General features: G+C 38.4%; 1 protein-coding gene and 1 long non-coding RNA gene across 7 annotated transcripts in view, besides 1 other annotated feature; one reads left to right on the top strand and one right to left on the bottom strand.

Annotated features, from left to right (window-relative positions):
• The window catches only part of ADAMTS9 (ADAM metallopeptidase with thrombospondin type 1 motif 9), a 172,347-nt gene that overhangs the window by 76,590 nt on the left and 69,611 nt on the right, over positions 1-26,146 (top strand). For all 5 annotated transcript variants that reach the window (XR_007095711.1, XR_245151.1, XR_007095712.1 and 2 more), the window contains 6 exons: positions 4,332-4,451; positions 7,080-7,184; positions 7,322-7,489; positions 9,198-9,467; positions 14,420-14,581; positions 16,977-17,153. Coding sequence is in view for 2 of the 5 variants with exons in the window: in NM_001318781.2 (NP_001305710.1) it covers positions 4,332-4,451; positions 7,080-7,184; positions 7,322-7,489; positions 9,198-9,467; positions 14,420-14,581; positions 16,977-17,153 (1,002 nt within the window). In the remaining 3 variants the exon portion in view is untranslated. The remainder of the gene's footprint in view (positions 1-4,331; positions 4,452-7,079; positions 7,185-7,321; positions 7,490-9,197; positions 9,468-14,419; positions 14,582-16,976; positions 17,154-26,146) is intronic.
• Positions 13,877-14,464: an enhancer, noted in NCBI's record as "NANOG hESC enhancer chr3:64582623-64583210 (GRCh37/hg19 assembly coordinates)". NCBI's record gives its function as "activates a minimal SCP1, AML or CMV promoter by ChIP-STARR-seq in naive and primed H9 embryonic stem cells {active_cell/tissue: H9 hESC(naive and primed)}" and the evidence as "EXISTENCE:reporter gene assay evidence [ECO:0000049][PMID:30033119]".
• Positions 21,327-26,146, bottom strand: part of ADAMTS9-AS1 (ADAMTS9 antisense RNA 1) — a 28,739-nt gene continuing 23,919 nt past the window's right edge. For both annotated transcript variants that reach the window (NR_110150.1, NR_110151.1), the window contains one exon: positions 21,327-24,594. This is a non-coding gene — a long non-coding RNA (ADAMTS9 antisense RNA 1). The remainder of the gene's footprint in view (positions 24,595-26,146) is intronic.

Genomic DNA, 26,146 nt, shown 5'->3' with positions numbered 1-26,146 from the left:
AAATGGAATCATGCAATTTGTGGCCTTTTGTGCCTAACTTCTTTCACATACCGCAGTGTTTTCTAGATTCATCTATATTGTAGCATGTATCAGTACTTGGCCAAAGAATATTCCATTGTATGGCTATACCAAAATTTGTTTATCCATTTATCCCTCAATGGCCATTTCGGTTGTTTCTACCTTTGGCTATTGTGAATAGTGCTGCTATGAATATTTATTTCAGGCATTTATTTCAGTACCTGGCTTCACTTCTTTTGGATGTGTATCTAGGATTGGAGTTGCTGAATCATACCGTAATTCTGAGTTTAACTTTTTTTTTTTTTTTTTTTTTTTTTGAGACAGAGTCTCACTCTGTCGCCCAGGCTGGTGTGCAGTGGCGCCATCTCGGCTCATGGCAACCTCTGCCTCCTGGGTTCAAGCGATTCTCCTGCCTCAGCCTCCTGAGTAGCTGGGATTACAGGTGCGTGCCACCATGCCCAGCTAATTTTTTGTATTTTTAGTAGAGACGGGGTTTCACCGTGTTAGCCAAGATGGTCTCTATCTCCTGACCTCGTGATCTGCCCTCTTTGGTCTCCCAAAATGCTGGGATTACAGGCCTAAGACACCGTGCCCGGCTCTGGGTTTAACTTTTTAACTACCAAATGATGTTCTACAGCAACCGCATAATTTTGCATTTTTATTATCATATAATACAAGGGTTCCATTCTCTCCACATCCTCGCCAAAATTGTTATTTTCCCTTTTTAAAATTCCAAGTAAGATAAATTTATCTTACTATGGTTTTGATTTGTATTTCCCTAATAACAAAAGATACTGATCATCTTTCCATGTGCTTGTTGGTCATTTGAATATATCTTCCTTGGAGAAGTGTCTATTCAACTTCTTTGCCAATTTTTTAAAAAAAAATATGAATTGTGTTAATAGTAAAATAAAACTCATCACAGAATTTCTCTCAACTATTTTAAATGTATAATTCAATAATGTTCCTTTTCTCATTTTTTGATCTGTTTTTCTCGTTGTTCTTGAGTTGTAGGTTCTAGATGTCAATTCCTTATCAGAGATATGATTGGCAAATATTTCCCCCATCCCCTGTGTTGCCTTTTTACTTTGTTGATAGTGTCCTTTAATGCACAAGGTTTTAAATTATGATGTAGTCCAATTTGTCTATTTTCTGTTGCCCTTGTTTATGATGTCAAGGAAGTCATTGCCGAATCCAATGTCATGAAGTTTTTCTGCCATTTTTTAAAAGAGTTTTCTAGTTTTAGCTCTTATGTTTGGGCCACTGATCCATTTTGGGTTAATTATTGTATATAGCATAAGGCAGGATTCCAACATCATGGTTTTGCATGTAGGTATCCAGTTGTCTCAACACCACTTGCTGAAGAGGCTGTTCTCTCTCCATTGAGTGGTCTTGGCACTCTTGTTGAAAGTCACTTGTCCATAGATATATGGGTTTATTTCTGGACTCTAGATTTTATGTCAGTAGTCTATACATCTATTCTTATGCCAGTAGACTGTTTTGATCACTGTAGTATGTTTTGAAATTGTGAGGTATGATTCCCCCAGCTTTGTTCTTTTTCAATATCATTTTGGCTATTTGGGGTCTCTTGTCATTCCATATGAATTTGAGAATCCGCTTTTTCATTTCTGCAAAAATGCTATTAGGATTTTGATTGGGATTTCACTGAATCTGTGGGTTAATTTGGGGCATATTGTCACCTTAGCAATACTAAATCTTTTAATCCATAGACATGTAATATCTTTTTATTTATTTAGGTCTTCTTTAATTTCTTGAGCAAAGTTTTATAGTTTTTAGTGTAGAAAGCCTTTACCTCCTTGTTTAAGCTTGTTCCTAGGTATTTCATTCTTTTGGATGTTGCTGTAAATTGAATTTTTTTTTTTAAATTTACTTTTGGGATTGTTCATTGCTGATGTATAGAAACACAATAGGCTTTTCTGTTTATCTTGTATCCTTCAATGTTGCTAAATTTGTTTATTAGCTGTAGTAATAGTTTTAATGGATTCTTGGGATTCCAATGTATAGTATGATGACATCTGCAAATAGAATTAGTTGTACTTCTTCCTTCCCGCTTTCTTTGCATGTCTTTTATTAATATTTCTTTTTCTTTCCTAATTTCTCTGGCTAGAACTTCCAGTACAATGATGAACAGCAGTGGTGAAAGCGGGCATCCTTGTCATGTTTCTGATCTTGTGGGGAAAAGTTTTTACTCTTCTACTATTGAGTATGGTGTTAGCTGTGGGTTTTTTTCCTAACTGCTCTTTATGATGTTGAATAAGTTCCCTTTTATTGCTAGATTTCTGAATTGTTTTATCATGAAAAGATGTTGAATTTTGTCATATGGTTTTCTTTAATTTAGATAATCATGTTTTTTTTTCCATTGTTCTATTAACGTAATGTATTGCATTGATTGATTTTCTTATGTTGGGCCAGCCTTATGTTCCTGGACTAAATCCCACTTGGCCATGATGTACTATCCTTTTAGTATGCTATTGGATTCAATTTGTTAGTACTTTGTTGAGGATTTTTACATCTGTATAAGCAATATTAATCTGGTGTGTGTGTGTGTTGTCTTCGGCTATGGTGTTAGGGTAATACTGGCCTCATAGAATAAGTTAGGATGTGTTCTCCTATTCTTTGATTTTTTTTTTTCTGAAAGCATTTGAAAGGGATTGGTATTAATGTTTATTTAAATGTTTGGTAAAATTCATGAGTGAACTGGTACAAACTTTTTGAGGAAGACTTTGATTAATGATTCAGTCATTTTACTTCTTATATGTCCGTTCATATTTTTTATTTCTTCTTGAGTCAGTTTTTGTGATTTGTCTGTTTCTAGGCAATCTGCGTAAGTTGGCATGTTTTATCTAGATTCTCTAATATATTGGCATCACTTTTATTGCTGTAAGGTCAGTAGACATGTTCCCTCCTTCATTTCTGATATTCAGTAATTGGAGTCTTTTCTCATTTTTTCTTAGTCGTGCTAGCTAAAGGTTTATCAATTTTGTTGATCTTTTCAAAAAATCAATTTCTGGTTCTGTTGATTTTTTTCTATTATTCTTCTACTCTGTATTTCATTTATCTCCATTCTAATCTTTATTATTTCCTTCCTTTTCTTGTTTTTTTTTTTTTTTTTTGGTTTTAGTTTGCTGTTAATTTTGTAGTTCCTTAGGAAGTAAAGTTAGGTTGTGGATTTGAGATCTTTCTTCATTTTTTTTTTTTCTTTATTAGTGTAGGTGTTTGCAACTATAGATTTCCTGTGAACATTGCTTTCATTGCATCTCACAAATTTTCTTATATTCTGCTTTCATTTTAATTTATCTCAAAGTATTTTCTAATATCCCTTATGATTTCTGTTTTGACCTATGGGTTAAGAATATGTAGTTCAGTTTTCACATATTTGTGAATTTTCTAGTTTTTCTTCTATTACCGATTTCTTGCCTCACTCCATTGTGCTTGTGGGATCTCATTCTTTTAAAACATATTGAGACTTGTTTTGCAGCCTAACGTATGGTCTCTCTTTAAAAAAGATCCCTGCACGTTTGAGAGGAATATGTAGTGTGGTAGGTGGGTAATCAGAAATGCCAAAATTGAGTGGCTTCTTTTTTTATTAAGCATTCACCTAGTTTCTGCAAGGTTTTGTTTAAATTCCACAGTTCCAAAAAGTTGATTCCAGTTTTTGCCAGCTTAACAGTTGCTTCAGTGGAGGGACCAATTCTTGGAGCTCCCTAGTCTGCCATTTCTGTGGCATCACTTCCTCTACTTACTGTTTTTAGTCTGCTTTTTATAATCTAACATTTTGCCTTTTAGTGGCTACATTATTTTCCTAACTACCTGTATGCTGTGATATTGAACTTTTGGTTGTTGCATACTTTGGTGGTGTCCAGTTTTTTTGTCTCTTATAAAAATATTGATGCAAACTCCAGTTATTTCTTCAGGATAATTTCCTAGAAGTCAAATAAAGTCACAGAGCTCTATTAAGTACCTATTTTAGCCACAGCACTCTGCTAGGTAGTGTGAAAGATGTAAAAATGATGGAGATGCAGTCTGCTCCTTCTAGGAGTTCACAGTTAATGAGTTGAACCCCTATAAATATCATTTCAATGGGAGGCAGAAATAATTCCAAGGGTCATCATAATAATGAATCAGTATAATTTGTACAGAGCAGGATTGCCCACTTCGACCTAGTTTATTTGAGCGCCAGCCCTCTGGCCTACTGTGATGGAAGTATTTCTCTCTTGCAGAATGTTATGGGGAAAGTAAGGGAAAGAGAAGATTTGCTGAATTGTATATACCTTTTGTCCTCCTTCTTCCAGTGCAGTGTCACTTGTGGACAGGGATACCAGCTAAGAGCAGTGAAATGCATCATTGGGACTTATATGTCAGTGGTAGATGACAATGACTGTAATGCAGCAACTAGACCAACTGATACCCAGGTAAGTTTCCTTTGTCCAACTCAGTTATTGACTTTGGGGACCAAGGTACCAAACTGCCCAGCTGTTTAGACAAAATTGAAATCCTTTCATAGATAAGTATGTCAGTAGAGCAACCAGTAGATTAATTTGTCCAGATTTACCTGTATGTTACATTTATAATCAAATATCTTGTGTCAGTTTTGTTCTTCTCTGGTTATTTGAAGTATATGTAGATTTGCTTTTGATTCCTATTGGATGATGAATGTTGGGTTTTGGGCTCATTTTCTTAAACTCATATTTCTAAAATGATTTCAATGTAGTATTCAGTAACTAGTGTCACATGTTCAGGCGGTGATTTGCTGGAGCTAACTTGTACCAGCTCACAAGAGCCAATTGATAAATTTTGCAGGAGTTTTGCAAACTGATTATTAAGTATAACCATTACTAAAAACTGAAAATATAAATCTATAATTAAATGTAGGGTATTAAAAGCAAAGTTTATAAACACTCAGAACTTAACTTATACAATGTACGTATGTGTCTGTATGGTGGATGTACTATGTAAGGGTGTGCTGCCACCTATCTCTCCCCAGCTCTGTGTTCATTGACATCAAGTTCATAGCTTGAAAATGGCCATGATGAGAGTATTTACACCACAGGAATCAGCAAGGGCTACAATTCAGGGCTTAATTTATTATTTGGTTGATTGGTTAGACTTAAGAAAGTAATGGAGAAAATGTTAATGATGCAGATTAAATGTAAACGAGTCTTGTGTCTGTAGCAGTTACATTGTGAATAGAACAAAAGGATGTGGAAATATTCTTCTAATATCTGAAAGGTATCTGATTCAGCAAAGACATCTTCCACATCACTGGTCAGTGAGTCAAGTTCTGGCCATACATCTTCATCATTCCACTTTCATCCTACCCTTAAACATAAAGAAAATATCAACTAACATTCATGCCTGAACTACGCTCATTTGGCAATTACAAACATAGGTGGGCAACAGGTTCAAAAGTTCAGCAAAAATCAACAAATGTATTCTGTGAGAATCAGTTGGCTGTATGGAATTTAAAATATATAATTGTATATTTTATTGTTATTTCAAAATTGCTATACCTCCTTTATATCAGTAAAATTTATAATAAATAAGCATATATGTACATATGTATGTGTATGTACATGCATGTAATATGTGTGTGTTTGTGTACACAAAATATCTATAAACACACACACATCTTTTTTCTCAAGAAGCTGGTGGATAACCACTCACCAGCATACTATTCTATATGGGCCTTGATTTTGGCATCATGTATGTAAAGAGAATACATAAAGAGAACACTCGGGTTTGCATAGCAGCTTTGCTAATTGCTGAAGATGGCATTTGAACCCAGGCTATTCCCAGAACTCACACTCTGAGTGAAGCCCCATGTGGCTGATGTACTATCTCCATCCTGAACACCCTCAATCTGCTGCCTTTCAAAGTGTGTTGTTAATGGATAAAGAGTGTTAAAAAAATAAATTAATATGGCAGTGCTGTTCATGTTGTCATCATCGATCAATTAACCAACATATGTGACTTATAATAAAAAATATATTATTTTATTGAAATGTTCCAAATGATGAATGCCTGGAAAATGTTAGCTATGGCATCTAAAGCAATCATGAACTGAGGACTTGGCTGCTCCCTTTCAGATTCAAAATATATTTCCCTTTAAGTTATTCTATTATATCCATTTGACTATGGGATGGCTCCCACCATTGCAGTATGTGAATAATTCCTTCACTTTGTAAAAAGTTCCCGGTGGCTTTCTTTGGACCAAAAACAGAGGAATAGGCAAAGTCTGGAGCCACGTAACAAAATTTCACATTCCACACATAGATTTTCTAAGGCAAAGATGTCTCAGTCATATGTGACACCAAGCCTCAGCACTTTTGCACTGTGTACAGCACACTCAGGCATTTGATGAATATGTATTAAGTCACAGGATAATTTTTAACCACTGAGGCTGAGAGTGAATATGAGCAGGTGTGTACTTTTGTTCCTGTTTGCATATCTTGGAATATTACCTGTACGCAGATGACCTCAGTTCATAACAGGGACTTCGTCTGCATGATTGAGGGGTGTTATATGAAGTCCAGGCATTGGCCAATTGAATACACCTTTTATATCTACATTTGACATTCTGGGATTCTGATGTTATCTTTGGGCAAACAGGGAAAGCAAGTTCATGATTAGCAAATTCTGATTAAGAAATTAATTGAAATGTGAGAACATCATTTGGCCTTCAGAGTTTTAAAACGTTAACAACTAATGATTTTAAAATGATATCCTGCTATTTCATGACTTACATGTCCTTTTACAATATTTTTTCTCTTTTTACACAAACGGATGAATAAATATGGCTTTAAAAATCCTCAAGCTGACCCCTGCCCTTTATTAAGGCACCCACAAAAGGACTAAGATTATATCTCATTTTGCAGTTGAAGACATTGGGACTGAGAGATGTCATGTGACTTGCCCAGATTCACACAGAAATCTGAAGCCTTAGAATTCTTAGCCTTTACATTTTTATCCACCATGACCATTACCTTGAAAGTGCATTGACTTGAAAGTGACTTTGTTTTTTTTTCCCCCATCACGTCTAGGACTGTGAATTACCATCATGTCATCCTCCCCCAGCTGCCCCGGAAACGAGGAGAAGCACATACAGTGCACCAAGAACCCAGTGGCGATTTGGGTCTTGGACCCCAGTAAGAAATAGACTGGGAGAAATGGGGAGGGCAGGATGGGGGCTAACATTCTCAGACATGGCTATAGAAAGTGGGCTACTGTCCAGTAAGCAGCCATTCCACGTAATATAACTGCATGATTTTACTCCAACACCCAGTGCTCAGCCACTTGTGGGAAAGGTACCCGGATGAGATACGTCAGCTGCCGAGATGAGAATGGCTCTGTGGCTGACGAGAGTGCCTGTGCTACCCTGCCTAGACCAGTGGCAAAGGAAGAATGTTCTGTGACACCCTGTGGGCAATGGAAGGCCTTGGACTGGAGCTCTGTAAGCCAGTGGATTATTTGGAATTAGGGGGAATGGGGGAAACATTGAGGGCTATGAGGAGTCAGCGGAGGGGGGCGCCACTTGGAAATGTCAATGGGTAATATTTCAGAGCTGGATTTGTCTTATGATTTAAATTGTGCTGCTCCACTTATGTGTAGTTGGCCAAGTGTGCAAGGACTCTTAGCTAAATGTTTAAGGAATGCACATTTCAAAAAATGGATAAATCGGTTTACAGTCTGCTTGAGTGTCTGTCCTGTTGGGCTGATCAGAAATCCCAGTCTTCACTGAGTCATATTAGTATGCAGTAGGTTTGTAGAGGACCAAAAATGTCAGGAGAGTGAGGGGAGAGGCTCTTACTCTGAGTCTAGATTCCTCCTGCATCCTGTGGTCCCTAAAAATCAAGTGGCTCTTGGTTTCCCCTGACAAGAATGGGAAGTGGGAATCCTCATCCAGTGCTGTGAACCTGCCTGCTGTACACCAAGCACTATCTATGGGTTTTTTTACAAGTAGAACTTTTATCTTTAGGCAGCTTCTTGTTTTCTGCCCTGCAAAAAGCCCAGAGTTCAAGAAATACATTAGTATAGGTGAGGAGAGGGCATAAGAAGAATGGAGATTAATATCTCAATAAATATCATAATATAGAGAGAGAAATTTGAGAGGTGCAATGAAACAGAGCTCTGTAAAAACCCAGACCTTGGCATTTACTTGTTGCATGGCCTTGAGCAATGTGGTTTAAGTCCATGAGTCTCAGTGTGCTCTGCTCTTAAAGAAGACGGAAAAGAATACTACTTTACAGGGCTGTTGTGAGGATTATTTGAGATTATGTACGTCAAATGCTTAGCAGAAAGTACTACTCAATAAATAGTAGATAATCTCACTCTCATGTCTTGAGCTTCCAAACACTTATCCATGCATCCATTCATCCATCTGTCCATCCGTCAGTTCATCTTCTCTAAGATCCATCTGCCTACTCACCAGATATTTGTGAAAGCTTGCTAGAGAAAGAGCAGTGAAGAATGAATAATAAAGCCCCTACCTTCATGGAGATTATTCCAATGGATGATCCAGTCAATGAACAAATAAGGAAGTATGTAATATAGCAAGAGGTACTGATAAGTCCTAGAAAGAGGTCAAGAGGAGAAGTGGAATAGAGAAAGATGGGATGTGCTTTTAGAGAGGGTGGTCAAAAAAGGCCTGACATTGAGCAGGACCTGAATGAAGTGAGGGAATGACACACATGGGAATTTAAGTGGTACAGCAAAAGGTGCAGTAGGTATGAAGTCCCTCAGATGGAAGTGTTCTTGGCTTGTTCAGGAAGCATCAGTAAGGCCAGCATAGCTGGAGTGCAGTGAGTGGCGAATGGTAGATGGGTCAAAGGGGTAGTCAGTGGCCACATCATAAAGGGTCTAGTAGATCAATGTAAGGATTTTGGGTATTATTCAAATGAGTTGGAAAATCACTGGAAGGAAGGATAGGATTTGACTTTTGTTGTAAAGGGTTATATTTTGTGATTTTGAATACTGAGCTGACAGATTTCTCACTGAAATGGATATGGGATGGGAAAAAAAGAGGAGACAAGGGTGATTCCAAGGTTTTTGGCCTGAGCAATTTGGGAAAGTGGTGGGCCATTTACAGAAATGCACATTCAGGAATTGTCAACCCCTCCACCAAATGACTGACCCTTTCTCTTTCTGAACATTCAACCTAGTGCTCTGTGACCTGTGGGCAAGGTAGGGCAACCCGGCAAGTGATGTGTGTCAACTACAGTGACCACGTGATCGATCGGAGTGAGTGTGACCAGGATTATATCCCAGAAACTGACCAGGACTGTTCCATGTCACCATGCCCTCAAAGGACCCCAGACAGTGGCTTAGCTCAGCACCCCTTCCAAAATGAGGACTATCGTCCCCGGAGCGCCAGCCCCAGCCGCACCCATGTGCTCGGTGGAAACCAGTGGAGAACTGGCCCCTGGGGAGCAGTGAGTATTCCCTGAAGTTTGCTTGCTTCTCTTTCACTTGAGGTTGGGTTTAGGGTAAAAGAGACTAGAAACACCTTTAGAGCATATTTTTTTCTTTACAAGGGATTGACATTGTGCATTTTCATTTGCTTTGAGTAACTTGTAATGGGTTAATTACAGCCCTTGATGATACTGATACTGCCTGCGTCCACCTATAAGCTGTCTCGATTGGGTGGAGAAAGGGGATATCATGGCTAGGTGATATGATCACATGGCCTCCTGGAGGTACCGTAAATACCATCAGGATTCATCCTGGAGGCCACAGGCAGCTCATACCTGTAGGGGAATTAAGAAGACAGAGAAACTTTTCTGAAAGGGAATTCTTAATGAAAGTCACTTTCCCCTCTACTATTTTCCAGAAGGGTGCAGTCTCAAAGTGGCATGGTTGCTGTGTAATTTGTAGTAGTAGGTCATTGTCCTGGATTAGGGGGAAATACTAGACTAGGTAAGATTTGTGCTTAGGAGAGAAGTACTCTAACCTTAAGGTTATCAGCACAATCTCTGAGGGAAGATGCGTAGGTTTGATCCAATGACTTACACTTCTAAATTTGGGGACCTTCTGCAGGTCCCTTCTCCTCTTTGAGCCTCAGTTTTCTTATCTGTAAAATGAGGATAACAATAATTCCTGCTTTCTTGGGTTGCTGTAAGAATTAAATAAGATGATGCAGATAAAGTGCTTTGCGCCCCGCCTGCCACAGAGTGAGAACTTAATAAATGTCGACAGTTGTCTTTATTATTATCATTATCATTGTCCTTCAAATTAGGGAGGCCTTGACAAATATCTGATATCAAAGGAAAAGTATGCTTTGGAATGTTTTGAAGTTTTTACTAAATAATTAAAAAAAAATATGCTGTGCAATACCAGACATGTTAAATGGAACTGCAGGAGGGGGAGGGTTTTAAAGGATCCTGGGTAGGGACGTAGTTAGGTGTTTACTAATTATTCAGGGGTCTTCTTTTTAATTGTTTACTATTAGTTTCCTTCTAGTACTGCTAATTCTGTTTAATTGTTTCTGGGCTAAAAAGAATTAGAAGGAAGCTGTCTGTTTCCCACTGCGGTTATGTTTCAGTAAATTAGACGTACTTTCTGATGAATACTAATTAGCCACTGAGCATTTGCACCCACTGTCTTTGCTGGTTGTGTGCAGAACAGCTGCCAAGTTGCCCAAGACCCTCGCTATCCCATCCCCCTCTCTTGCTTTCCACTTTTGGGCTTCCTTTGCCTAGATTAGAAGAGATTTCAGTTCTGAGAAAGTAAAAGGTGATCCAAGGAAGTAATCACCGAGTGTCTCATGGTTTTTCCTTGTTGACAAAATTCAAAACTCACACATGTGTAGTCTAATGATAGCGCTAGGATTTAAAGAAAGTGTTTTAGTGCTGTGCTTATTTAGGACTACATTTGGGGATGATGCATTCCTTTAAGATTGAATGATTCTGCCCTTGGGCAGAGCTCCCAATTAGGGAGGATTAGGTAAGCTTTTTGTGGCGATGGGTAATACCATTCTTTTCCTCATTGTGCCTGTTTTTTGTTTGGATATTTTTTCCCCTACGTTAAGTGAGGCTGAAGCTGGACAATGTGATTTTCAGCCCTAGCTTGACGTGTCTGACCTGCTCCCAGGAAGATGAAGGATGTACGTCATCTTTGCATTGCATTGCATGGTACACAAACTGTACATGGTCTTCCTGCCTTCCATGGCAGAAAAGGCGGCAAAGGGTTATAAACACTGGGGAATGGGAATCAAGTTTTTCAGTGGTTTCTGGAGTAAGAACTTCATTTTATAATAGATTTCTGTATACACTTGAGCAAGGTGTGTTAGCAATTAGGAGTTTTGCAAAAAAAAAAAAAAAAAAAAGAACAGAAACTGACTCAAGTGAAAGAAAAACAAACAAAGCTGTTCATTTAGCCGCAGTAGGGACAGGGACCAGAGCATCTTCAGGGCTCTGTCTCAGGGGCTGGCAAGTTTTGTCTGCAGAGGGCCAGATAATAAATCTTTTCAGCTGTGTGAACCATACAGTCTCTGTCACAGCTAATCAGCTGTGTGTTGCAGCACAAAAGCAGGCATAGACAATATGTAAATAAGTGCACATGGCTCTGTTCCAATAAAACCTTATTTCTAAAAACAGGTGGCCGCACACATTTGGTCTTTGGGCTGTGGCTTGCCAACCCTTGATCTAGATAGAGGGGTAACTAAGGGATAATTTCTTTAGAGAGTTTCTGTCTTAATGAATCTCTTTTAAGCCTTTGCCACTCTTGAGTTATTCTGCTGAGGATTCAAATTCCCAGGAAAGTCCAGTTGCCCACCTCTGACCACAATAGGGCAGAGTGTCTTAATTGATAGATGAAGATGGCATCTGCCATGAGGAGGAATGTTTTCTTAAAGGAAATTGGGCTGCCAGATGTAAGGAAAAGGATGTTGATTTGAGCAGGTAGAAAAAAACAAATATCTGTCTCCCTTTGCTTCTCTAAAGGCCATTCTCCTTTATTTTGTCCATTGTGGATGACAAATTTCAAGTACGTTTTACTAATAGATTCAAAGTTTGTTCAAATAAATGTTTACCTAAGAAAATGTTGTCATTTAAAGAGGACAGGGACTTTGTTAACAAAAGTCCAGACTGAAAGTCTGCAACATGGAGAAATGGAACTAAGAATCCCTGTTAATCAAATAATGGCAAAATTAGACCTGGAGAAAGGTTATGTACAATACTTCATCTGTCTGTGGGAGTATAAAGACCCAAGCAGGCTCAGGATTCAGATAGCTCAAGAATGTGCAGTGCAACTGCTTGGCCCAAGCTGAGAGCTATCACCAGCACTTCAGTTGGATTCTCGGTAGGAAGCATCCAGTCACTCCCTGGGTGGCCAGTGGATTGCTTGACCATGGATCAGGTGTTCATCCTTGCACCCATCAGACATATTGGAGAGAGAATACCATGGAGTTTCTAGAGCTGTTTCTTCCAGAATCTTTAACTGGACCAGGTAGCAAATCCTGTGACCAGCACTATGGAAGGTAATAGGGACACAGGTTAAAACATTGAGCCTTTCCTCAAGGAGCCTGCCATTTTACTGGGGCAATAAAGCTGACAGGTGACATAATAAAGGAATGATACAAGATTATATTATCAAGGAGAAAACTCGAGGACCAAGATATAGATGACAAATCTATTTATACCATGAAAGGCCCTTCCTAACATTTAAAATTCTGGTCCCCAAACAAAGCTAATTAAAATAATAGTTCTCTGTTTTTTATTATGTACTAAGCTGCTTAAAAGTAGGAAGGTAGGAAGTAAGGCCAGGCATGGTGGCTCACCCCTGTAATCCCAGCATTTTGGGAGGCTAAGACAGGAGGATTGCTTGAGGCCAAGAGTTCGAGACCAGTTGGGGCAACATAGTGAGACCTTGTCTCTACGAAAAATTTTAAAAATTTACCCAGGTGTGGTAGTGTACACCAACGGTCTCCAGCTATGCAGGAGACTGAGGTGGGAAGATTGCTTGAGCTGAGAGGTTGAGGCCGTAGTAACCTGTGATCGCACCACTGTGTTCTAGCCTGGGTGACAGAGCAAAACCCCACCTCAAAAAAAAAAAAAAAATAGGAAATGAATATTTTGAGATTTAGAGTAAGTATACCAGAATCATCAAAGATAGAGGTAACATTTTTATAACTTGAAAAATACCTAAATATTTTCTCAAGAGGAACTAATAAATCTATTATCCAGCTCTACATTAAAAAAGTAAACCCAATATAAAATGAAAGTGTAGATACTGATTTAAAAACACTTATAATTTGACCAGCATGGGCAGGGAAATTAACAGTGGTCCAGTTCAATTAGCAACAAAATGTATTCACATCTTGATACGGAAGAAGATGACCAGCAAGAAGCAATGTTTGATAGAGCCTATCTTGAAATAACACTGATATGAGCTACGATTAGCTAGAAAGCAAAAATCAGCCTTCAGAACCTGGAACTAACAACATACTTGCAAATGCAGTTTGAGTCTTGATAAATCGTGAGAAATACATTGCTTTGAGGACCAGATGATTATTTTATAGGCAAACTGATTTTACAAGGGTCGGGGTAAAGGACACTAGCAAACATTTTGGGTTTAAAAAGATAAAGAAGTTATGGAAAGAAGAAAACACTTCAGGTGTAAATAAGTGAACTATGAGAGGCTTGTATGGGAAATGAAATGAAATGCAAACATAACCCCATGACAAACCATGAAAGAGAGGGTGTTAGGCTGAAAGCACGGCCGAAGAGAGGTTTGTCATGATGAAATTCAATTAAGTTCATTGGGGAAGTAAAAAATAAATAAAACAAGTCTTACTACCATTAGCCACCGAAGTTCAGGCTGTTGTAAAGAGAGAGAAAGGAACATTTTATCTGCTAGGAAATGATGTCTAAATGACATTCCATGATGTTTTCCTGGAGTAATTGAAGGAGTTCATACAGAAGCTTAATTTCTACAACTGGCAATTCATTAGGCATGTAATTTGACCTCCGCGTTGAAAGGAAAATCAAATATTGGTTCTAAATAGGCACTTGAAGTTTTGAAAAGAATTTCCAAATTAACTGTCGTGTCCATCAACACCTCTGTACCTCTTAGAGATGCAGAGGGGATAAAGACAGTAAGTGGCCTGCTTTGGAAGTCACATTAGGCATTTATGGAACCCCTGTAGAGGGCCTGAGGCACACCAGAAGAGAAGACACATTTCTGCCCTCCAGGTGTGTCTATAGGATGTGTACATGAAACAGCCCCACAGTGGGGAAGTTCTTGGGTTTTCCTGATTGCTTTTTGTCCTTCGTGGATGACTTGAGAATGCTTTTCAGCACATTTGTCTTAACCTTTCAACCAGCTGCTTCTGTGTCCCTAAGATGGAGATTGAGGTGGGGATTAACTTGTCGACTGATGTGTTTAGTGTTCCAGTACCTGTGCTGGCGGATCCCAGCGGCGTGTTGTTGTATGTCAGGATGAAAATGGATACACCGCAAACGACTGTGTGGAGAGAATAAAACCTGATGAGCAAAGAGCCTGTGAATCCGGCCCTTGTCCTCAGTGGGCTTATGGCAACTGGGGAGAGGTGAGAGTGAACTATCCGTCTATAAATACAGAGGAATTGTGTTAACCAAACTGTATTTATCATTCAGATTTTATTTTCAAGGAGAAGAACTAGCTCTAGTAGAAGCTTCTGGGGTGGGGATTAACTAGGAAACCTGTCTTCTTAAATTCTGGACTATTTTAAAGTGTTCCTATTACCACTAAGAGACAGTTTGGGTACACAGGTGAGGAAAATTAGGTGAGAATACAGATAAATACTGGTTTAAGTTATTTGTTCACCTCTGATGATTAAAAAATAGATGCTTTTAAAGTGATTGAAAATATGTGTTAAATCGGTCCATGGAAGTCTTGCCCTCTTCTTCATAGTTTTGGGGTGTTTGTGTTATGCCCTGTTCCCATGGCATAATGTCTCCCAACATTCCAAGTCACTAATGAAGCCAGATTGAGTAGGTGTTATAATTCCTATGAAAGATGATGTATTTTTATTGCAGAAGTGAGTAGTTAGCTGTGTTTTCTCAAATATGGAATTATTTAGCTGCTACCTTTTCAGGGTTGCCTGTGACGACTGATAGGGGACAACTGAGTATTGGAAGCTGAGAAAACCGTGTCCTGTTCTCAGCTCTGGCTCTTAAAAGTTTTGTGACCTTGGCAAATAATGTAGTATCTTTGCCAAATATTTATATCCTCATCTGTAAATAAGGATAGTAATAGCACCAACTTCTTAGTATTTATGACCATGATATGAGGTAGTATCTATCAAATGCGTAGCACATCGCCTTTAATCAATTAACTGCCACTATAATGTAGTAATAATTAATGTTAAGAATAATTATTAATAATACTGTGACTAAGTGGGGGTTTGAGCCCTTATTATACATAGGGCCTAGATGCTTATTGTTTTGTGTTTAATTAACTAAGAATATATCTCTCTATTCTTGAATCCACAGGGAGAGCACATATTTAAAGTTTGTTGAGTTGTTCTGTCTTGACTATAACATTTATCAAATAAAACACGAGAAATAACACTTTGGAGGTCCCAGTGCCAAGGGGGGGAAAAAGACAAATGAGATTGATGGGCATGTTAGTCCACATCCTTGGCTGAATGAAATCACGTGTCCACATTTCATGGTTTCAGCCATATAACCTAGTAGTCATAGGCAGTCATAACGGGATTATTGTTGACTTTCATTGACAGTTATGTCATTCTGGAGAGCTTTGTTGAAGGGAAAGAAAAGGGAATGAGGCTTTGTGACTCATGTATTGTGGATTTCCCAAAACCTCCTCGCAAAGTTCTGTCCTGTGGGGCCTGTGATTAAGCTTCTGTAATTGGATTCAAGCCAGGAGAGTACACGAACTTGCTGGGATGCTTTGCTGTCAGCACAGACCAGATCATTCCAAATTCTGTGGGAGATCTGGCCTTGACACAGCAGGGAAACCAAATGTCAGTGTTGCTGGATTTGAGCGCAGCAGCACTGTCCAAGAAATACAACGTGTTCCTGCCTCAGAAGTTTAGATCTAGCCAGGAGTCAGAACCTTATCCAGTGTTCCCACCATGCTGTTTATTCATCCAAGGGGAAAGTCATAGTTGTCCTCACATTCAGAGATACAGTAAAATAGGTTAGTGTCATAAAGGGCTATGGAGACGGAGTCAGAGAACAGCCAAGGATTGGTGACAGCTTCTTAAAATTTGCCAGAAAATAGAACCAGTTAAGTCATTGTCTCCTTTGTTTGGTATTGGGTAGTTTTTGTTTGTCTATTTTTGTTTTGTTTTGGTTTGGTTTGGTATTTCTCAAAGAATCTTTGTTGGGAGGCCGAGGTGGGAGGATCATGAGCTCAGGAGATCGAGACCATCCTGGCTAACACGGTGAAACCCCATCTCTACTAAAAATACAAAAAAATTAGCCGAGTGTGATGGCACACGCCTGTAGTCCCAGCTACTCGGGAAGCTGAGACAGGAGAATCACTTGAACCTGGGAGGCGGAGGTTGCAGTGAGCCGAGATCGTGCCACTGCATTCCAGCCTGGATGACAGAGCAAGACTCCGTCTCAAAAAAAAAGAAAGGATCTTTGTTACTTGCTAACAGATTGGACTTGATCGAGTTAATTAACCTCCCTTCACCTTAATTGCTTCATATATAAGATGGGGCAAATAATTACACTCCTCTTGATTAGATAATATATGCAAAAGTCCTCAGTGCAAGTTAAGAGAAAGCACTTAATAACTAATACCTGCCATTAAAGTAGGAGAGTCTTGGTCTGTTTTACGTATCACTATTGGTAATTCACCTTGGTTCCATCTGTCAGAGGCTTACCTTGCCCAATGCCATAATTGAGTTTGGCTAAGAAATTAGGGAGAAAGGAAATTTGTCATTGGCCTTTCAGACAAAATAACTGCAGCCTTCCTTTTCCTTCTTCCAGTGCACTAAGCTGTGTGGTGGAGGCATAAGAACAAGACTGGTGGTCTGTCAGCGGTCCAACGGTGAACGGTTTCCAGATTTGAGCTGTGAAATTCTTGATAAACCTCCCGATCGTGAGCAGTGTAACACACATGCTTGTCCACACGACGCTGCATGGAGTACTGGCCCTTGGAGCTCGGTACGGCCCTAACTATTCATGTTTGTTAACCAAACTATCTAATTCCAAGGTATTCTGGGGCACTCCTCTGTGGCAGATAATTGTCACACTTACAAGGGCATCCCAGAAACTCTGCTATAAATAGTCTATTATTTTCTCCATATTGGCACATAATAGAATTAACTTTTTATGATATTGCCAAAGTGACTTTAAAGAATAAGTGTACCTCATACAGGACCTGGTGCCAAGAAGTAGCTGCCTTTTCTTAGCCTAAATACACACACACACACACACACACACACACACACACACACACATCATACACACACACATACATAGTGATTTTAACAGACAACTCAATAGCACACATTCTTTCCTTTTCTAAGCTGTAGTAGTTTTGACTTTTTGGGAAAGATACCTGCTTACTGAGGCCAAAGCAATTTTTCTTCAGTGACTGTAATTTGCCTGTGTGACTCGGGTACAGCTCTGAACATAATTTTTACAAAGTCTGTGCCCACAAAATAGACTAAAATCATTTAAAAATGCAAAAGACCAAAAATGGAACAGGTGACCTGGTGCCTTTTAGGGTGTCGGAAATGTTCTCTCTCTTGCACAGAGATAGGAAGCCCGTTTGGGACCATTTTTTGCTTTGGTCCTAGTCTTCCTTTGCTATCTGCTTAGCCAGCAGCTGACATGGTGAGACAGGTTTGCCACTGTAAATATGATGCAAACTTCTGGGGCAGCTCTTGGCAAACAGAAGCATCAGCTGTGTCAAAACAATACTTTGGCTGAGTTGTGCCCATAAGCTGTGGAGCCGTTAGGGCTGTTTCATGTAAATAGAGGAAAAATGGTCCTGTAAATACATTAATTGCACTGAAGCTGAATTTAGTATTGTATTAAGTCATATCCAGAATGTTTTTTTACCCAGTATGGTTCTCAGAAGTCTTAACCATCCCTGAAACCAGCTAAAGAGCAGATTAAGTGAAGTGACATGGTTAATACCTGTTGACATTTCTAAGAGTCAAGGGTTTCAATGGCTGGGGTCGTGTCTGCAGGTGTAACACTAACTATATAATCACTATACTTTGTATTAGGCAGAAATCTAGAAGAATTTGGAGCATTATCTCCACTGGTACTATTTAGCTGGACTGTTAAGTATTTTCTTCCAGAACTTAAGAAACGCCACTCTGGGTCAGAGAGCTCTGGTCTGTTGTATCTCTAGTCAGTTCAGTAGGAGCATTTTCCCTACAATAATGGCACCTTCCCCAGATGAACATTTTTGAAGATCAGAAATAACCTTAGAATCTCAGGAACATCTTCTGACATTCCCAACTTCCCTCATCTCCTATTATATATTATTTTTCGTGAAATTCCCTCTTAAGCTCATTGTGTTTTCACCCAGTTCACTAGACCAACAGCAATACCAGTACCAGAGTTATGTTTTAGAAAGTCTACTAGCTGTCCACAAAGTCGTAGTTCATTAACTTTGACCCAAAAAAAAAAAAATCTCTTAACCCTTAGGAAGAAACACACAAGGCTATTTATTGCATATTCTTGTGGTTTGGTGAAAAAAAGAAACCTGCATTTCCCTTCCCAGACTCAATTCCATTGATCATCTCAGTTCCATTGATTATTCTATATTTACCTCTCCAGGAAGAATTATTTGGGAAAACAGGGGGAAAAACATAAGTCTTAGAGAATTATAAATTAATTTCCATGGTATTCTCTTCCTTAAACACTTTCTAAATACGCTAAATTTTTTTTTACACAGGATCACTACCCTCCCCCACAGATATTTTAAGAGCATAAATGTTTAAATTTTAAAACATGAACTGCTAATTATTGTAACTGAAAACATAAGGTTTATTTCATGTAGTTGTTCTCCTTGGGCCTGCACACAGTTCTCTGAAACAGAGGAAGAAAGAGAGAGAGAGAAAGAAATTATAATGCTCTAGTATGCACAGAAGCAAGTGCACGCATTTTTAAAATCATTTTGCTGCCTATATGATTTCAATGGTTTCTTTATAAAGTGATCATTATTCAAATATGCGAAGCCTCTACAGTCTAAGAGCAAGGCCACTTCTGCAAGGCTTTTAATTGTGATCTTAAAAAATTAAATCAAAAGCATTTTCTTTAAAATATCTTTGTAATATATTACTTTTCCTAAATATATGAGTGAGAGGGCAGTCTTTCAGATTCTTACTGTAGAGTTTTGATTTTAATTGTGTGTTTATTTCTGTGGATGCTTTGGTATAATATCTTAGTAATTCCAAATGTAAGCATACCTCAGTAATTGTGTTAATAGCCATAAAGCCACTTCCATGGTGCTTCATCATTGTAACTGACGGTGAAACTAACAACAATAAAAAGTATGTTGGAGGTGCTAACATGTTGCTTTCAACAGAAAGCAACTTAGATTTATTAGGGACCAAGGGTAGCAATTAATCCTTCTGCCTGGTTGCTTTCTCTCTCCCAGTACTCCCATGCATTAGATGATGTCAAGAAGCAACTGCTGCTGTGTGAATTAGCCTTCTCCAAGGTCAAAATGGAGATTGCCTACTTCAACACTTGTTACTAAAGAGCAGTATTTAGGAAAGAAACCCCAAATCACTATTAATATAGCTTCCAGCATCCCTAAAATGAAGCTTCTGTGAACCTAGGGTTTAAGTCCCCATCTTAGATCAGCCATTGGTTCTGGCTCAAGTCATTGCGGATTTAAGAATCATGATGGTGAGAAATATCCTCCAGAAATTCAACCTTTTCTATCCTTTTTAAAATGGGCCTTTGGACTCTTTTTTTGGTAGTGTTTGTTTTTGAAATAAGGTTCCTTTTTTTTTTTGAGACAGAGTGTTGCTCTGTTGCCCAGGCTGGAGTGCAGTGGTGCGATCTCGGCTCACTGCAACCTCCTCCTCCCGGGTTCAAGTGATTCTCATGCCTCAGCCTCCCAAGTAGCCGGGATTATAGGTGCCCACCACCACACCTGGCTAATTTTTGTATTTTTAGTAGAGACGGGGTTTCGCCATGTTGGCCAGGCTGGTTTCAAACTCATGACTTCAGGTGATCCGCTGCCTTGGCCTCACAAAGTTCTGAGATTACAGACATGAGCCACCATGCCCAGCCTGAAATAAGGTTCTTAAACTCACATGCCTTTCAGTTGACTCCTGCAGTCAGTCCCAGGAGGACATTAAGTAGTCTATGCATATGTCCTATGACTTGAGGAGTAAATTGGAAAGAGACCTCTATACTATCGAACCACAGCAGAAAGTAGGCTAAAAATCCAGAGCGTTCTAGAGAAAGCTAATTCATCTAGATAATCACAGATTAAAAGTCTGCTAGGTGATACCATGTATCCAAGATGGGTCTTCGGTGTTCCTTTGTGCATTGCCCTGTCAACCTGCTTGCTGATCACCTTGGAAACTGTGCTTCTCCTTAGGAGAAATTGCTTGTTCGGGTTTTTCATGACAAACCTAAAAATGTTCTCTGAGCCTTGCTTTAGGTGCATTGGAATAATGCTTGTCGACCCAAGTAATGAGAATTTATGAGCTCATGAAGGAATTGTGCTTTTGTTTCTGCCTGGCTAACTTATGAATTTTTGTCTACCTCATTTTCGTATTAAAGTTTGCAGCTTCTGTAGGTAGGAAGAGAAAATGTTTGATACCAGTATTTTATAACCTCACTGCTTCTCTCCCTAGAAGAAATAAAGATTGTAAATATCACTACCATATTTTCTAAACACAGTTTTAAGCAGCCACACCTAGAATTTTCTGAATATTTTGAGCAGTACAGATTTCTATGTGTTATATAATAAAGCATATTTATTTTTTCATGTTATTTAATTTTATATACAATGTTTAAAAAATCAGTGTTTATCAGCAGACTGTAAAGGCAAGTAGGCTCTGTGGATTAGAAATGAATGTATATGTTTCTTTTGGTTTTAAAAAGATACATTTTAATTTTGTAAATTCCCTCCAACCTGTACAACCCCTCCCTCAAATCTGAGTAGCCAAGTATCTAGCTTTGTGTAATTAGACAGCTTCAAGTATGTATTTTAAAGGGATACTTTAAAAACATATTTCTGAGTTGGAAATGATGCTTAGATTTATAAACAAAAATATATGAGGCTTAATATTTTGTTGGGTATTTTTTCTTTTCTAGTACTGTTGTCCTGAATTATTGAATCTCAACTATGAAATATGCATGCTCCATTTATTGAATTTGTAGATAATGATAAATTATAGCCAGAAGACAAAAAAAGGTGATTGGAAGAAATGGTTCTGAACACATAAGAGACAGCTAGGTACAGGAAAAAGCAAACCTAATGTGCACAAATTTGATTACACTTTATTCTGTGTGTTCAGATAACTGTAAAAGGCTTACAGCATTTGTCAATTTTGTTATTTGTTCACTGCAATACATTTCAGAAAGCATTTCTTATGAAAGGAAAATAAAATACTACAACAACTACCTTGGAAGTTTCAAGAGAGCCTACCCTTTTCAAAAAATACCTAAATCATAAAAATGACCCGGAGGCCTATTGATACCTCATCCTCCTCCTGAGCCTCCTTTTTGCAGTATAGGTTATTATGGTATTCATGGGTGAAAGGACCAAGGTAAGGAGGGTCCCTGTATGAGTTAGGGTTTATTTTTAATAAGGTGAGAAATAAGATAACTTCTCCAAAGGAAATGAAGATAACAATAGCTAACGTTTGCTGTGTGTTTACTGTATAACAAGCCAAATTAAGCAAATACACATCACATTAACCCTCTTGTTTTAACCCATGAGGGAGGTGCTGTTAGGAACCCATTTGACTAGCCGATAATCTACTTCAGTGATAGGACCTTGTCGTTAGGGTACTGACTATTAATCTTGTTTTGGCAGAAAGAAACAACCTATGTTCAGAATGAACTTTTAGGTTCCTGTTTATATTCCATAAAGGATGTGCCTAAAACTCAAACTTCATTTAGCCTCAACATTATTTAGCTAATTATGACATTGTCCATTTGATTCCAGCAAAAGAAAATCCAAATTCATTCCTGTTATTGGTAAATTCCCATAACCAGCAATTACAAAAGCTTCAAACAACTGTTGTTTAGGGAATGGCAAAATATTCCTCTCTTTCATTTTACAGATACATTTTTAGCCAGATTAACAGGATGATATCAAGATTTTGACTATAAGGAATATCACATTAAATGCATATGTATTTTTTATAAATATGATACTTTTACTACAATGAAGACATGTTTAAACATATTGCTGGCATCTTTAGAAAATAAGAGCCACATTATTTGGCTGTATCAGTATGGAGTATAAAAAATAAGATAGTTTTTTGTGGAACAAAGTGTTATGACATACGAATTTACAAAGTTTACCTTAGTTCTGTGTAGCACTCATCTCTAATGTGTTCAGAACAATCAAAATACTTGCCTGCATCTATTTCACTGGAGACAAAACTTAGCAGGCTTTTAATAATCTTTTTTCAGTATTTACAGAGATTGTATGCCTATGAAAGACTGATCCTGCCTTCTGATGCTATTTTGTGGTAGCTTGACAGGTTCTATTTTCATGGATTTAAAAAGTCCACAGGTTGGGGGAGCAGGGTTAGGAGTGTTATTGGACTCTGAGGAGGAGTCCAGGTCCTCTCCCTCACTCCTGTTGTGGAGTTGCCCTTCTGGAATGGAAAGAAATAGAAACTTTGGAATGTGGAGTGGGAGGTAGAGGTTGAGTCCAAGCATAATTGGCTAGGAGGGAATCCTGGCGATTAGTGATGGCAGTTGAGGAAGATTTATTTTAATGCCAGGGGTTGGGGGTTGGGGCAGAATAAAAAAACTCTGGGTTGTTTCTTTAAAAAAAAAAAATCAATTTTTAACAAATACTTTCTAAGTGCCTATTGTAGGCCAGGGACTGTTCCAGGTGCTAAGGATACAGCAGTGTACAAGTTAGAGCTCTTTGTTCTAAGGGAGCAAGAGAAATTTTAGTATTAAATCAATACTAAACAAATGTAATTAAAGAACTGATGCTTTGGTTTTCCTGGCAGCTTCGCCACCACCATAAAAATAAAAATACAACTTGCTATTAGGGTAGGTACCTTCATGGATACTGCTGATGTTTATTCAGTAAGTATAAATTAGCAATTTTATCTTTGCTTTTAAACGTGCAACTGGCCAGTCATTTTAAATGACAGATGCTGCCTGGCTGATGGCACAGAACTTTTAAAAACCTCCTATTGGAGAATATGCTTCCAATCACCATTCCATTAGAACCCAAATGTGAGTTCAGTGGTCTGAGAGCCAGGATGAGTGGAGAACCTAATCTTCTGCCTTCTCCCTGCTGGGTCCTTGGCCTCCACACAAGGTGGAGAGTTGTGGTCTGAGGGTACTTTTTCCCTTTGTTATTTAATGGGTACCAATTAAAAGATGTGGAATGTGCGGATCTCCACACCATCTTCTTTGCTTGTTGCTGTTGTTTTCTCTAAAGTGGGATCATTGTCATGAATGGTTTTAACAACCATAATCTCTCTTTCCTGAAATTTATAAAATAGAAAATTGGCAGCCAAGGAAAGCATGTCCAGGGGTAGTATGGAAGATGACTCATGTAGGCTGAACCCAGAAATCCATCACTCTTAGCAAGATCTGCATCCCCTTTCTCTTATGAGAAAGAGCTTATGCCTTGGCCAAAAAAATCTAGTAGCTTTCTGCAGCGATGTAAATGTTCTCTATTTTTGCCTTCCTTTATGGAAGCCACTAGTCACATGTGGTTAATACTGAGCACTTGAAACATGGTTAAGTGACAAGGAAACTGCATTTTTAATGTAATTTTTAAATTACTCTAAATAGCTACCTGTCGCTGGTGGCTACCATATCGGACAGGGCAACCTCAGGCAACAGGACATCTCTAACAATTAATAACAAACTAGCAAAGAAATCAATAAATTTATAAAAATAAATTGGGGAGAAAAACCGTATTCCACATGTAAGGGGTTCCCCCATAGGATGCCCATGCATCTGGTGATTAGCATTCTCTTGCCTTTCTTGTGTTTCGTGCCTTTGTTTTGGAAAACTTCAGTGGGTGTTCCTTGACAGCTGGGCATTAGAAAATGCAGAGGACAGTGAAAAGATGGCCTATCAGAACCAGGGGTCTTGAGAGTAGTAACTCCAGGGCTTCATTGTAAAAGCAGCTGTTAAAACAAACTCTCCTCTGTGAATCTCAGAGTTCAAGTTCATCGTGGCCATAAGTTCAGTTAAGGAGAAAGCATGTTTATGTGTTCAGTGGGTTGAAAGGGCAAGGCTTGAATGATGCTTTTTAGGAGACGGCAAAAGTGGAAAACACCAGGTAGCCACCTTGTAGAAGCTTGAATTCCAGGAGATCATTCCCTCTTTGAAGGAAAAGTTTCAGGAAGGCAGCTTTTCATATTCATTGAACCCAGTAGGTGAAGGTTGAGCAGATTAGCTTTGCAGGGCTCTGTTTCAAAGACACATCAGAAGAAACCGAGTTGAGGCAATGTCTCTCCTCCATGACTGTAAATGTAGTCATTTAATTTTGCAAAACTTAATGTCTACAGTGTCAAAAAGAAAAAAACCTCTTATTCATTTACATTTTTACTCTATACTGAGGGCCCCAAGAAATTTAAACTTATGCAACAACATTGACTGCAAATTGACTGATAATTGCCATCAGTTCTCTTCCTCAGTGGCCAGATAGAGTGTTTTCCCCCCGTTTAGGGCAACATCCTGAATTAAATTATAATCTGACAGATGGTCTGTTTTTAGAAGCACTGATTAATCTACTATGCTCACTCTCAGGTTGACTATGCACTAAAATGAGAAATAGTTCAAATGATTCTCCCTAAGCCATTTTCTTCTGAAATATCTCAGACAGTGAATGAATTGATAGCTTCAGTTATCCACAAAGGAGCAGATTTTTTTCCCCACTTAATTTGTCACACAATGTGTTTCCTCCCATAATTATAGGGAGGACTTTGATTTTTTTTTTATTATAACAACCACTTACATTTTGGAACATTTACTTTGTGCTCAGAATTATGCTAAACAATTCACCCACGTTTGTCTAACTTAATCCTCTCTACATGATGAAGTCAGCACCATCAGAGAAGTTGCTTAGTTGATCTCACTGCTCAGTAGTGGTCTCTAGGTCTCACTGCTGGGAAGTGGCTGAACCAGGATTTGAATTTAGGATTTTCTGAATTTTAAGCTAGTGGTTTAAGCCAAGATATAATCCCCTCATCTCATTGTTTAGTTGATGAAATGGTAAAATGTAACATGAGTGGAAAGGGTATGTCTACAATGTAGGATTTTATGTTATCCCAGAGTGTAACTATTAATATTTGAAATGTTCTGAAGCTAATTGAGCCATTTACAAGTTTTGCTTAGGGGATAAGCAAAGAAAATCAGGAATGAATATAAGAAAATTGTCTCAAACCAAGTAAAAGAGCAAGATTTGGGGTTTTCAGAAGATTTTAAGAAAAAAGCAACCAGTATTAAGCACATATTGGGTGCTATCTCTGGCATTTTTAGTAGAAATGGAATAACTTGAGGTATTTTCTTTATTTAGTAGATATATAGATAGTCAGGATGATAGATTTTATTAGAGCCAGTCAGGTGACTTTACATCTGTTCATGGTGATGAGGTTCCTTGCAGAAGGTAAGATGCTGTAGCACTTACAAGTGAATTATGAAAAATGGTAAAATTTACTAAAATGTGATCTCACCGTAACTCTCTGGTTGAAATAAAGCATATTCAATGCATTGGAACGTCTTCCAAACTATTTATTGAGCTAAAATTAAGCTATAGGAGCTGAACTCTTCTTTTAGCAAAGCTGTCTTATTCATTCCCATTGGTAAGACAGTCAACCACCTTGAACCCTGTTCTTGCATCCTCTTCCTCTCATCACCCCTCATTCTCACAACTACCTCTGTATTCCTTAGTCCATGTGGCAGGTGAATAATAAAACAGTTACGCTTGGGAACTTGGTAAGATGAACAGAGGGAAATAC

Source organism: Homo sapiens, chromosome 3, assembly GCF_000001405.40.
Source record: "Homo sapiens chromosome 3, GRCh38.p14 Primary Assembly".
Taxonomy (NCBI): Eukaryota; Metazoa; Chordata; class Mammalia; order Primates; family Hominidae; genus Homo; species Homo sapiens.
Note: the sequence above shows the minus strand (reverse complement) of the source record. Positions and strands in the feature narration are given on the sequence as shown.